The sequence below is a fragment of the Homo sapiens genome, chromosome 1 (genome assembly GCF_000001405.40).
Source record: "Homo sapiens chromosome 1, GRCh38.p14 Primary Assembly".
Taxonomy (NCBI): domain Eukaryota; kingdom Metazoa; phylum Chordata; class Mammalia; order Primates; family Hominidae; genus Homo; species Homo sapiens.
Genome location: NC_000001.11, coordinates 189,166,046 through 189,181,015, shown reverse-complemented (window position 1 = coordinate 189,181,015; position 14,970 = coordinate 189,166,046). Strand labels below are relative to the sequence as shown.

The window sequence follows — 14,970 nt, the reverse complement described above, 5'->3', positions numbered from 1 at the left end:
AGCTGTATCTACTAATGCATTTAAAACCACACAACTTAAATGATAAGAATATCAAAGTTCTTCCTTTCTTCATGCCTCAAATATTTATTATTCTTTAATATAAACTTATATAAATATTATATCTTCAAAAATACTTAATATTACAATATGAAAAGCAGACTTCATCATTTTCTCTGAAAAGGATACTTCCCTTCTTATTACTTCTGTGTATTTTTTTTCCACTAGCATTCATTCATAAAGCACAGGTTTATTTAAATCCTACTCTGTATCAGATTTGTACTGGCTACTACAGATACTGAGATGAATAAGAAATTATTCATACCCTAAAGTGTCTCACAGCATACTGTACATTTTCATAAAATGTTATCATAATACATGTTATCTCTAAGGAAAATACATAAACAGTGTGATGGGGAGCAAAAAGAACACACTGCTAATTATCAATACGGCAGTGAGCCAGAAGTTTATCCCTTTCAATTAGAAATCTCAGCATTAGCTAAGGTTAACATGTTAAAGATTCTGGCATCCTATTTTCTACACCTCTTTAGCAACAGATCTAAAACAATTACATTAAATTCATTTAATTAATTGATACAGTGCTATATCTCTACTTACACAATTATTACAAAGTATCAACATTATCCAGCCTCTCTGTTTTTAAATCTACTTAACATCATTCAAATCCACAGCTCCCATGCACATTGGTTTCACAATCCTGTTGATTATCACTAGAAAATCTTGTGCAAGAGATGAGTGAAGAACCTTTCATGGTCTTAACTGTTCAAGAAGAAAATGTCTGCTGTCCATCAGATTCTGCTACATGAACTGAAATTGAAACTGTTTTTCTGTTTTCTCATGTTCTAAAATACTTCCTTTTTAAATCATATATTATATATAAACCTTTACTCATGTTTTTTATCATTAGATATAAGTACTGGATGATGGGTTAAGATACTGCTACCAGAAACAGCACAGGGCCAGTAAAGCATTGTTATTTGCATAAAGTTTGATAATAAGGAGAGAAAAACAGAAAGCTAATGAGTTGGGATTGCCAGTAGAGAAATTAAGTTTTGCTGCTTGTTGTATTTTTGGGGGAGTAAATAAGAAATAAATTTCATTCGGCTTACAGTAACAGAGTTCTCTACTAAAGACCTTAAGGCCCGATTTTTTATCTCACATTACGTCAAAGTTTAAGGAGACAGTCTAGGGCTTGTACAACACAATTGTATAAAACCATCAGAAATCCAGGATCTTATGTATCTACTCTATCATAGATATCATGTGCTCTGCATACTCAAAGTCTCCTCAAGCTTAAAAGCTGGTTGTCGAAGCTCTAGCAATCACAGCCACTTTCTAGGCAAGAAGAAAAAGAGCAAAGGGCAAAAGGAGCCTACCAGTTGATTCAAGAGTCAGGCCTCTTTAAGGAGCTTTCATTGAAACTCCCCCAAAATTTTCTTATATTTGATTGGTATCACCTATTATGTGAGGGAAGGTAAAGTTTATATTTTTAGCTGGACATAACTCTTTTCTGAGACATTCTGTCTTATTATTGTAATCAAACAACAAAAACAAAACCAAGAAAAGAGAATGAATTATCTGAGTAGGCAAGTGGAAGTCCCTGCCACAGCCATCCTCATTAGAATGTTTAATTTGTGTCTAAAGCAGAAGAAATGGAATCATTGTACCAGGAAAAAAAAAAGCTTTTAATAAACAAAATGTCATCAAATAGATTAAGGACAACATTGGAAACATAAAACAAGAGAAGGAAACATAACCAACGAGAGGAAATACATGTTGGTGGAAAGAGATGGTACTCATAACCCTTCATTAGCATAATATTATCAGCTTCTCTCCACAACTTTTATCTGATTAGTGAACTCAGGGTACATAACTCTGTCCTTTCTTCCTTTTCTTGAGAGGAGATATTGATACAGGAAACAAGAACATTATCTCTTGCATATTCTAGCATAAATTGCAAAGAAGCAGAAAAAATTAGACATGTAACTTAGAGTTAATTGGGCAAAAACTCTTTAATTTTAAGATTCTGATACACACATCTAACTTGTCTACAGATGTAAACCAATCTTTACTTGAGTTCAGGCTTTTAGCATTGCCAAGTCAAGTGTTTAGTGTGTAAGAAGAGCATTCTGAGCTGATAATTCATACAGGCTTATATTAGACCATGTAACTTTTAAGTTCTGTAGTTATATTACTTATGATTTATTTTAATTGACAAGTAAAAATTGTATATTTTTGTGATGTATAATGTAATGTTGGATATATGAGTAAATTGTGGAATGGCTAAATGGAGCTAAATAATATATGCATTATCGCACTTTGTTTATACTGAGAACACTTAAAACCTATTCTCTTAGAGATTTTCAAAAATACAATATGTTGCTTTTATCTGTAGTCACCACAATGTACAGCATACCTCTTTAACGTATTCCTGTTGTCAAACTGAAATTGTATGTCTTTTGACTAACATGTTCCCAATCCCGACTCATCAGCCATTGGTAACCATCATTTTATTCTTTGTTTATGTGAGTTCAACATTAGTACATTCCACATGTAAGTTAGATGATTTAGTATTTATCTTTCTGTGCCTGTTTTTTTTTAAATTTTTCTTAAATAAGGTCCTCCAGATTCACCCATGTTTTTATGTTTTCACAAATTACAAAATTTCCTTTTCCTTTAAGCTGCATAGTATTCTATTGTGTGTGTGTGTGTCTGTCTATGTGTGTGTGTGTATTTATGTATGTATGTATATATCTCACATTCTTTTTACCTATTTGTTGAGGATCACTTAAGTTGATTTTAAATTTTGGCTATTGTGAATAACACTACAATGAACATGAGAGTGCAGATATCTCTCTGATATACTGATTTTAATTGTATTTTAACAGCTATAGCCAAGAGAAGATATTCTAAGACTTAGGGTACTAATAGTTTTTAAACTTGGTAAGAAAATGCAGCATTCTCCAGGTAAGCAGCTGTTTCTACACAGGCAGCATTACACATCAAGGTATTTCATCAAAGCCATAAGAGCCTTGGCAAAGAAGTAATATCTGTGAAACCCTAAGAAAAGTTACAAAGACTGAGAGGGACCCAGTTGAAGCAGAAAAGATGATGAACAGAAAAAATGATGAGCAGAGAAGATGCTAGACAAAGAAGACAGGAGCACTCAAATACCTGTTCCAAGAGTTGCTTCATAAGACAACAGGGGCAAAAGATTACTATTGGAAGGAACTGGGTGAAGGGCATGAGGCATGTGTGTATTATTTCTTACAAGTGCTTATAAATCCATAATTATCTCAAAATACTGAGTTAAATAACACAATGCAAAAATATAATAATTGACTAAATCTATCAATAGATGAGTTGGCATATTTAGCTAAGTTTCAGTCTTCTTACAGGGTATTAAAGAAAAAGAAAGAATATATTTTTTTTAAAGAAACATTTTCTTATTTGGGTTTTCTTTTTCTTGAGTCTGATATTCCAAGGTCTTTTAGGAGCATATGCTCTTTTAGGGCTCCATGTAGCTGATATAACAATATGATACTGGCATTAACTCCCATATGAGGAAATCATCCCATCCTTGAAAAGGTCTATCTTAAACCAGGGGTGTAGAGGTGTATTCTATCTGAGATGAATGTCCCCACCAAATTTAAATTCAGTTTTAAAAATACTGCTGGTGAAGCAAAAGTAATTTGTAGTTCAATTTCAACCCTTAGGGTTATAATTTTATGACAACTTTACTAGATCTTATTGCAGACTCCAGAAATTGGTCATTAATATGTGGAATAGCTAGTAAATTGAAGCCGAAATCTGGAATTTTAATAAGTGGCATATTATTCTTGCCATTATCTTCATGCATACCATTCCCTAGTTCTTAGGATATAAGAAAGGTCAAGATTAATGGTAGTATTATCCATGACAGATGAGTGTAGAAAATATTTTACAATGATATGAGCATATATTATTGTCTAAAATTATGTTGCTATATTAAGGCAAATAGTTTTAATTACAAATTTTGTAAATAAATATTTTAAGCCAATACTGTCATTTAAAACATATAATTGCAAAAAGTATCTTTAAATACATAGGGAAACATGAGCATGGCCTTCAAGATCAATCTGGCATTATGCTCTATAATCTTTATGTTTCTGCTCCAAATTTACTCTTGCAATATTAACAAGCTCATATAAATAGATAAAAATCCTCACAATTCTGCAAAGTTATTAGTGCATCATATTGGTGAGTTTCTAGAAATACAGAGAGTTAATATAACTGGATTTAGGAAAAACCATAGGGCATTCCGGTTGAACTTCACCTCAAAATAATATTTTCAAGGGAGGTTGCAAGTAGAAAATACACTTATGAGGGAATGCAAGTCTCTCAGAAGTCTATGAGGTCAAATAAAATTATGAACTAGGCAGTCCTCTCCAGGACTTATCATTGTTAGTATTTCAATTTTAGCTTAAAAGATTTACAGTCATATTTCTTACTGGTTTCAATTTGTGATTCCTTAGTAAAAGATAATGTTGAGTATTTTTATGTATTTACTGGCTATACATATATCTTCTTTAGTGAAGTATCAGTTCAAATATTTTGCTCATTTTTTGATAAACTGTTTTTCTATTACTGAGTTTTGGGAGTAGTTTATATATTCTGAACACAAGTCCATTATCAGATATGTGACTTAAATGTATTTTTCCTAGTTTGTAGCATGGCTTTTCATTTTTGCGATCCTTCTCCAGAGGAGGATTTAGTCTGCATGTTATTATTTTGCACCACTAAAGCAAGACCTTTCTGAGTACCCTACTAAGTGCCCTATAAATTATGAGGCTTTTACATCTGGCTGATAGAAGCAGACAATGTTCTCAGCTATATGTAAGTGCCAGACACCCTTATCTCTAATCATTTCAGAGGTACTTTCTTTATCTGGTCTCATAATTTGTGAAATCAATCATTGCTGTTGTGATTTTCATCTGTGTCAATCCATATTCTGAATACTTAAGGGAGGACCTCAGGAGACCTCTGGAGTTCTCTCTCTCTATGCAGCTCTCTGTTCTCTGATAATTTGTCCAGAAAGTTCAGCAGTCTTGATCTCCTGCTTCTCTTAGCTGAATCTCAACACAGAAGGTCTTTGCATTACACCTAGGTTCACCCTACCAATGCCACAACTTGGAATCTCTCTCAAGGCAGTAAATAGAGAAATCATAGAGCTTATTTTATTTTTTGTGTGTCCCTTAGGGATCATTGTCCTTGCTGCCTGATGTCTAGTGTCTTGAAAACAGTTATTTCATGTAATTGCCTTGTCTTTTGTTGTTTCAGGCAGGAGAGTAAATGTGGTCCTTTTATTCCATCTTTATGAGGAGATAAAAATTCCTTTTCAAATGTAGAAAGTAATAATCTTTTAAAAATGCATACACTCAAGGATATCTGTAATGCCATTAACACTCTAGGTAAACAATATTAATTCCATTTTTTCATCTAGAGATAATAATGCTTGGGACTACTATACATAATTTCAAACAACTAACAGTGTCTGTTAGTGAAAAAGATATTACAAATGTCAAATCTAACCTGCTTTTTCAAGGGGAGAGCTCATGAAGGAATTCAAACATAATCTCAATTCTTCAAGAGACACTCTTTAGCAACAGAGTACAGGATTCATTATTCTGGACCATACTGGCTACACTTATTGCAACAAGCTAATGCAAGAAAAGAAGGAAAGTAAAGAGAAAGGAGAAAATCAATCATGAGAAACATTGTTCAGGAGTACAATTAAATAAATGTAAACATACACACATGTGTGTATATGTGTGTGTGTAATATATATACACATACACACACACACACACACACACACACACAGCCTACATAAGGCACCTTTCAATCAAATTTAGATATTTGAAGCCTGCTTAAGATATCTTTAAATCACATATTTATATCAACGCTAAATACTAGTACATTTGTCCATCACTCTTTTCTTCCTCCCCAATCATAAGACATTTACAAATATATTTCTATAAGTATGCTAGCAATTGTATTTATGAATTGTACATTTAATCTTGACATATTTTCAATTGCACAAAAGGCCTTCGACAAAATCCAACAGCCCTTCATGCTAAAAACTCTCAATAAATTAGGTATTGATGGAATGTATCTCAAAACAATCAGAGCTATTTATGACAAACCCACAGCCAATATCATACTGAATGGGCAAAAACTGGAAGCATTCCCTTTGAAAACTGGCACAAGACAGGAATGTCGTCTCTCACCACTCCTATTCAACATAGTGTTGGAAGTTCTGGCCAGGGCAATCAGGCAAGAAAAGGAAATAAAGGGTATACAATTAGGAAAAGAGGAAGTTAAATTGTCCCTGTTTGCAAATGACATGATTGTGTATTTAGAAAACCCCACTGTCTCAGCCCAAAGTCTCCTTAAGCTGATAAGCAACTTCAGCAAAGTCTCAGGATACAAAATCAATATGCAAAAATCACAAGCATTCCTATACACCAATAACAGACAAACAGAGAGCCAAATCATGAGTGAACTCCCATTCACAACTGCTTCAAAGAAAATAAAATACCTAGGAATCCAACTTCCAAGGGATGTGAAGGACCTCTTCATGGAGAACTACAAACCACTGCTTAACGAAATAAAAGAGGACACAAACAAATGGAAGAATGTTCCATGCTCATGGATAGGAAGAATCAATATTGTGAAAATGGCCATACTTCCCAAGGTAATTTATACATTCAATGCCATGCCCATCAAGCTACCAATGACTTGGAGTCTGATGTTCGAGGGCAGGAAGCATCCAACACAAGAGAAAGATGGAGGCCAGAAGACTTAGCCAGTCTAAACCTTCCACATTCCTCTGTCTGCTTTTATCCAAGACATGCTGGAAGCTGATTAGATGCTGCCCACCTAGACTGAGGGTGGATCTGTGATATGGTTTGGCTTTGTCCCCACCGAAATCTCATCTTGAATTCCGAAGTGTTATGGGAGGGACCTGGTGGGCGGTAACTGAATCATTGCAGCAGGTCTTTCTCATGTTGCTCTCGTGATAGTGAATAAGTCTCACAAGATCTGATGGTTTTAAAAATGGGAGTCTCCCTGCACAAGCACACTTCTTCTCTTGTCTGCCACCATGTGAGATGTGCCTTTTACCTTCCACCATGATTTTGTGGCTTTCCCAACCACGTGGAACTGTACGTCCAATAAACCTGTCTTTAGTAAATTTCCTCGTCTCAGGTATGTCTTTATCAGCAGTTTGAAAATGGACTAATACAGTCTGCCCCTCCCAGTCCACCAACTCAAATGTTCATCTCCTTTGGCAACATCCTCACGGACTCACCCAGGTACAATACTTTGCATCCTTCAATCCAATCAAATTGACACTCAATATTAAGCAACACAAGTCCACCCCTTATCAACTTGAACCCATACACATCTCCTGAAATCTATATAATCTTCAAATAAAGACAATTATAAGGTTATAATTACACCTAACATAATACAGCTATCCTTCTTACAACAGGAAGAACACTAATCCTTAACCTACATGCTATTACATAAAGTTAACAACACTTAAATGCTGATGTGGAGTCAATAAATCTTATGTCACATGATAAAGAAAAACGAAAGGAATTAAAGTGAAGATATTTTCTTAGTACAAGTGTATGCAGGCACAAACATGTTCTTAATAAAATAAAGAGAAAATATTCATGACAATTACAGTGCTCATTTCTGCAACTGGTCACATGGTCATAGCTGGTATGGATGACTACCTTCTTCTACTACCCATTCCGTATTCCTTTTGCCTTCAGCAACACCTCAGCAGGTCATGGCTTTCTACCCAGGGGAGTGACCCAAACCTTCATTCCTGAAGGGTCTGGGCCATTTGTAGTCCTGCCTGGATTGGGTTGCTGTAGTTTTCCATTGACCTTAATCACAAGGTATGATAATACTAAGAGATGTCCTAAGGGATCTTACGTATTCCACACATACTCTCCCTTACCTCCATTGTGGAGCAACAGACTGATTTCATCTTGATAGTCCAGGTCAATTACCCCAGCCAACACTGTAACTCCCTTCTTAGCCTGCTGACTTAGAGATAGGAGGAGCCCAAAGTGTCCAGGTGGAAATCTTAACTTCCAGTTTAATGGAATCTTTGTTCTGTCTCCTGGTGGCAGCACGCTTCATTCTGAAACTAGGACCTGTAGGCCAGCAGAACATAATGTTGCAGGAACAGGAAGTGACAGTTTTGCTAGGATGTCACTAGGGTTGATGGTGACTGGGGCCACTTCCACTTCCACCACTTGATTCCTGGACACAGAAATCCTGGCTATGGGAGAAAGAGTACCATATATTGGATGCTGATTCAGAGCATACACAGCCTTCTGGAGAAATTTGCCCCAATCCTGCAAATTATTATCACCAAGTTAGCATTGTAATTGTGACTTTAAAAGGCCACTCCAATGTTCTATCAATCCAGCTGCTTCAGGATAGCAGGGAACATGGTAAGACTAGTGAATTCCATGAGCATGAGCCCCCTCCTGCACTTCTTTTGCCATAAAGTGAATACCATGATGGTAAATAAGGCATTCTGTGAGTCCATGGATGGTAGCCTTGGCAGAAACATTACGTGCAGGATATGCAAACTCATATCCGGAGTAAGTGTCTATTCTGGTAAGAACAAACTGCTGTCCTTTCCATGATGGAAGAGGTCCAATATAATCAACCTGCCAACAAGTAGCTGGCTGATCACCTCGAGAAATGGTGACATATGGAGGGCACAGTGCTGGTCACTGCTGCTGTCAAATTTGTCACTCAGAAGTGGCCATAGCCAGGTCAACCTTGGTGAGTGGAAGTCCATGTTGCTAAGCCCATGTGTAATCTCCATCCCTGCAACCATGGCCACTTTGTTCATGGGCTCATTGGATGATAACAGGGGTGAGTGGGGAAAGAGACTGAGTAGTGTCCACAGAACTCATCATCCTATCCACTTGGTTATTAAAGTACTCTTCTGCTAAGGTCACTCTTTAGTGAGCACTTACGTGAGATACAAATATCTGCACAGTTTTTGACCACTCAGAGAGGCCTATCCACACACCTCTTGCCCAAATTTCTTTGCCACCAATTTTTCAATCGTACTTTTACCAAGTCCCTGACCATCCAGCCAAAGCATTGGCTACAACGCATGAATCAATATCTAATCACATATCTGGATATTTCTCCTTCCAAACAAAGTGCACAACGAGTTGCACTGCTTGAAGTTCTGCCAACTGGGAAGATTTCCCTTCACAGCTGTCCTTCAGGGATGTCCTAGGAAGAGGCTGTAGTGCTACAGCCATCCACTTTCAGATGCTGCCTGCATGTCGTGCAAAACCATGTGTGAACCAGGCCCTAGTCTTCTCTTTCTCTGTTAACTGATGATAGAGAATGCCCCATGAGGCCATTGGTGCAAGATGGGGGAGAAAAGGCAGGAGTGGGGACCATGGGCATTCAAGCCACTTCCTCATGTAACTTACTTGTGCCTTCAGGACCTGGTAGAGCCTGATCACATACATATGACTTCCATTTGATTATAGAATGCTGTTGCACACAACCCACTTTATGGCTAGATGGGTCAGAAAGCACCCAGTTCATAATAGGCAGTTCAGATCACATGGTGACTTGATGACCCACAGTCAAACATTCAGTTTCCACCAAAGCCCAGTAACAGACCAAGAGCTGGTTCTCAAAAAGAGAGTAGTTACCTGCAGAAGATGGCTGGGACTTGCTCCAGAATCCTCGAGGTTTCCACTGTGATTCACCTATGGGAGCCTGCCAAAGGCTCCAAACAGCATCCCCATCTGCCACTGACACCTCAAGCACCATTGGATCTGCGGGGTCATATGGCCCAAGAGGCAGAGCAGCTTGCACAGCATCCTGGATCTGTTACAGAGCCTCCTTCTGTTCTGGACCCCACTCAAAAATGGCAGCTTTTCCAGTAACTCCATAAATGTACCAGAATAACACAACCAAATGAGGAATGTGTAGCCTCCAAAATCCAAATAGGCCCACTAGGCATTGTGCCTCTTTGTTGGTTGTAGGAGGGGCCAAATGCAGAAACTTATCCTTCACCTTAGAAGGAATATCTCGACAGGCCTCACACCACTGGACCCCTGGAAATTTTCCTGAGGTAGAAGGTCCATGAATTTAGTAGGACTTATTTCCCATTCCCTGGCATGCAAATATCTCACCAATAAGTTCAGTGTGTTTGTTACTTCTCACTTAATGTATCCAGTCAGCATAGTATCTTCAATGTAATGGACCAGCGTGATAGCTTGTGGAAGAGAAAAGCGATCAAGAGCTTTCCGAACAAGATTATTACACAAAGTTGATATATCCCTGAAGTAGGACATTAAAGTTATATTGCCAGCTGAAGGCAAATTGCTTCTGGTGGACCTTATGGACAGGAATGCAGAAAAAAGAATTTGCCAAATCAATGGCTACATACCAGGTGCCAAGAGATGTGTTAATTTGCTCAAGCAATAGAACCACATCTAGTACAGCAGCTGCAATTGGAATCACCACTTGGTTATGCTTATGATAATCCACTATCATTCTCCAAGATGCATCTGTCTTCTGCAGAGGCCAAATAGGAGAAAGGAGATGTGGTGGGGAATCACCAACCCTGTGTCTTTCAAGTCCTTGATGGTAGCAATAATCTCCACAATCCCTCCAGGGATGCAATATTGTTTTTGATTTACTATTTTTCTAGGTAGAGGCATCTATAGTGGCTTCCATTTGATCTTTCCCACCATAATAGCCCTAATCAGTCAGGGAGCCAATGTGGGAGTTCTGCCAGCTGCTAAGTATGTCTATGTCAATTATGCATTTTTATCACTGGGGAATTGACCACAGGATGAGTCCAGGGATCCATGGACCCAGTGTAAGTCATACCTGAGCTAAAACTCCACTAGTTACCTGACCTCTAAGCCCCTACTTTAACTGGAGGACCACAATGACATTTTTGGTCCCTTAGAATCAACGTCAGCTCAGAGCCAGTGTACAGTAGTCCCTGAAAGGTCTGATCGTTTTTATTTTTTCAATGCACTGTTACCCTGGTAAAAAGCCAGTCATAGGTCTCCTTGGGGAAAAATGGGAGAAAGATTAATAGCATAAATTCTTGGCAGTGTAGTGGGGTTCTTCCTCAAGGGGACACAGCCTCCCCTTCATTAAAGGGGATCTGGTTCTGTAAACTGGTTTAAGTCTGGAAATTGATTGAGGGGGCCATGATTCTCTATTTTTAAAATTCAAATGAGTCTTTTGACCACTCGACCTGGAAGTTTTCTACTTATATAAATTAAGCAAGAATGCAGTAGGCTCTCTATCAATTTTACTTCTAAGAACACTTAATCAACCAATGCTAGAGCTCTGCACGAGTCAGACTATTCTGATTGCAGCTTTGCTTCTGCTGTCTATTATAACTATGCCCACCCTCCTTTGATGGTTGAGTGTTGCCCCTTGGTCCCTGCCTCCTAGGAATCCAATTATTCCCAATGCACTGAAATTTTATAGTTGAGTGACTGCAGTTCCCACTGTAAGATGTGACATACAGAGAAGAGCAATCACAGAGCTCTTCAAGAATGCAGGTGCTGCCCTCACATATCTATTTCACAAATTATTAGTGAAGGACATGTATTCTGGACCCTCCCAGCTGGGATGAGTAGGTCCAATGTGACTAATCCACTCCACCATCCCAATCTCCCTAAGCCTTTGGATCTCTTCCTCTACATTAAACCAGGGGAGATCAGGAATTTCTAACTTACTCACAGTGGTCCATCTTTTGATCCATATTTCAGCTAACCAATAAAATAAACTATTATAATCCTTTTTATCTCCCTGAGCTGCAATATTAAATGCAGAATCTCTGCTTAGTGTGGCTCAAATCAATCAATTCATCTTGATCCAACTTTACGTTTCTTCCACCATTATCCTACACCGTTAATATCCATTCCCATGCCTGTTCTCCAGATTTCTGCTTATATAAATCAGAAAACTCAAGCAGTTCTTTTATAGTACAGTATAGTCTTGTGGAGTATAGTGGACCTCATGGGTCACACTCTGAAGCTCACCTTTAGAGGCCTGCCAGGACCTTTGTCTAGTTATAGATCTAGAAGCAAACAGGAGCGTTGGGGCTGGATTCTGAGCAGAATCAAAATTGTCTTGCCTGGCAACTTCCTCAGGGAATCCATTACTGTTGCCTCAGGCAGTTCAAGGTTAATCTCCTCAGACAAAAGTGGAAAGGCTGATTGCAGCATGGGTCAGGGAGGGGATGTTGCCACCACTGGGGATGGGGAAGCTGTTTCCTCTGGCATAAAAGGCTCATCAGAGTTTACAAGCTCTGTGTCCTTAGAGCTTCATCAGGGTCCTCCTACACGTCCCCATTCCAAGGTGCAGGCTCCCATTCTTTTGCAATCAATGCCCTCACTTTAACAGTAGACACCTGGCGAGGCTGTGCGTGCATCTTTTATTGCAGGTCAGCCACTTACATGATAAGAGCTTGTGTCTGATTTTCCACAATTTCAGTTCTTTCTCTACAGGAAATAAGATTCTCATTCAGAGCAATGTTAGAAGATTTGAGGCTCAGTGTTTCCAAGAATTAGAATTCTTGAGTTCATCGTTTTCTTTCATCACTTTGTCCAGTGAACTTAGGAGCAACCAACGAACTTTATTATATGCCTTGGTTCTCCACATATAGTCAAAGGTATTATGCATAGAGTCACTAAACTCCTTGCCTCTCACAAGTGGTGAATCAGGAATATCAAATGCATTTATTTTGTATAACTCTCTAAACAGTTCATACCAAGGACTATCAGTATTCTCTATGCTATTAGAAGTAGAGTCCTTAGCATTTTGGGGTCTAATGATATTAAGCAGCCAACTCCAGAAATCTCAAAACCAACTAAAGGAATCCATCCTTAAACTGTTCCTCTGGAACCACTCCTGGTACCAAAATCTGTTATTAGTCAGGGTTCTCTAAAGGGACAGAACTAATATGATAGATGAATATATGAAGGGGAGTTTATTAGGAGAATTGACTCACACAATCACAAGTTAAAATCCCACAACAGGGGGACTCTGCAAGCTGAGGTGCCAGGAAACCAGTCTAAGCCCCAAAACCTCAAAAGTAGGGAAGCCAATAGTGCAGCCTCAGTCTGTGCCTGAAGGCCTGAGAGCCCCTGGAAAATCACTGGTGTAAGTCCAAGAGTCCAAAAGCCAAAGAACTTGGAGTTTAATGTTCAAGAGCAGGGAGCATCCAGCACATGAAAAAGGTGGAGATCAGATGACTTAGACAGTCTAGGCCTCCTAGGTTCCTCTGCCTGCTTTTATCCTAGCTGTGCTGGCAGCTGATTAGATGCTACCCACCTGGATTGAGGGTGGGTCTGCCTCTCCCAGTCCACTGACTCAAATGTTAATCTCCTTTGGCAACACCCTCATGGACACACCTAGGAACAGTACTTTGCATCTTTCAATCCAATCAAGTTGACACTCAATATTAACCATCACAGTTATATTGAGATTTTTAAATTTGGATGAAAAACATACATGCTTTAGGATCACTATTAGTAAATCACTCTAAATCTTATAATAATCTTCACAAATATTCATAGCATATATGTTTACATGGAACAATAAATTATAATAGATTTCCTGGTTCTATTTTTTCCCTTAAATTCCTTTTCTATAATTAATATGAAAAACTTCTATTTGTAAATATTTACAAATAAAAATCCAGCACTATGTAATTGTCAGTTATAAAATAACACCACATGTATAGAAATATTTTGTTTTAGCCATTCACACTACTGAGTTTTTGTTAATAAAACCATGTATGACCTAAATATCCTGCACATAACATTAGGAATTTGAATACTGGGAATCAACAAAAGTGAAAAAATATCCAAATAAATTTCTAAAGTTTATATTAAAACATCAGAGATATTTTCTGTTCATTTTGGAGGACAGCAAATTATGTTTCATTTGGAAAATTAAGTCTTATACAGGTTCAGATAGGAAATATACACTTTTTTTTTTTTTTTTTTTTTTTTGCCTTTTGAGCCAGGGTCTCATTCTTTCATGCAGGCTGGAATACAGTGATGTAAGCACACCTCACTGCAGTCTCAACCTCCCAGGCTCAAGCGATCCTTCCGTGTCAGCTTCTCAATAGCTGGGACTACAAGCATGTTCTACCACACCTGGCTAATTTATTTTTATCTTTTATTTTGTAGAGACAGGGTTTTACTATGTTGCCCAGGCTGGTCTCCAAATTCTGAGCTCAAGCATTGCCTTCTCCTTAGCCTCCCAAAGTGCTAGGATTACAGGCATGAACCACCATGCTTAGCCTAACATATACTTTTATTTAAAATTAGCATATGTTATTTGTATTAATTTTTACTAATACATTTTCTTTTGGTCAAGTTTCTCTAATGTGGTTCCTTTAGATTAAGTAGATCCAGTAAGTGTTTCAAAGATGTCTTATAGATCTATTGCCTGAAGGAAGCACTAAACATGGAAAGGAACAACTGGTACCAGCCACTGCAAAAACATACCAGTACCAAATTGTAAAGATCATCATTGGTATGAAGAAACTGCATCAACTAACGGACAAAATAACCAGGTAGCATCTTAATGGCAGGATCAAATTCACACATAACAATATTAACCTTAAATATAAATGGGCTAAATGCCCCAATTAAAAGACACAGACTGACAAATTGGATAAAGAGTCAAGACCCACTGGTGTGCTGTATTCAGGAGACCCATCTCATGTGCAAAGATACACATAGGCTCAAAATAAAGGGATAGAGGAATACTTACCAAGCAAATGGAAAGCCAAAAAAAAAAAAAGTAGGGGTTGCAATCCTAGTCTTGGATAAAACAGACTTTAAACCAACAAACAACAAA

At 37.9% G+C, this 14,970-nt stretch overlaps 1 long non-coding RNA gene across 2 annotated transcripts in view; it reads right to left on the bottom strand.

Annotated features, from left to right (window-relative positions):
- LOC105371657 (uncharacterized) overlaps positions 1-14,970 on the bottom strand; it is a 453,818-nt gene that overhangs the window by 422,565 nt on the left and 16,283 nt on the right. The window lies entirely within an intron of this gene.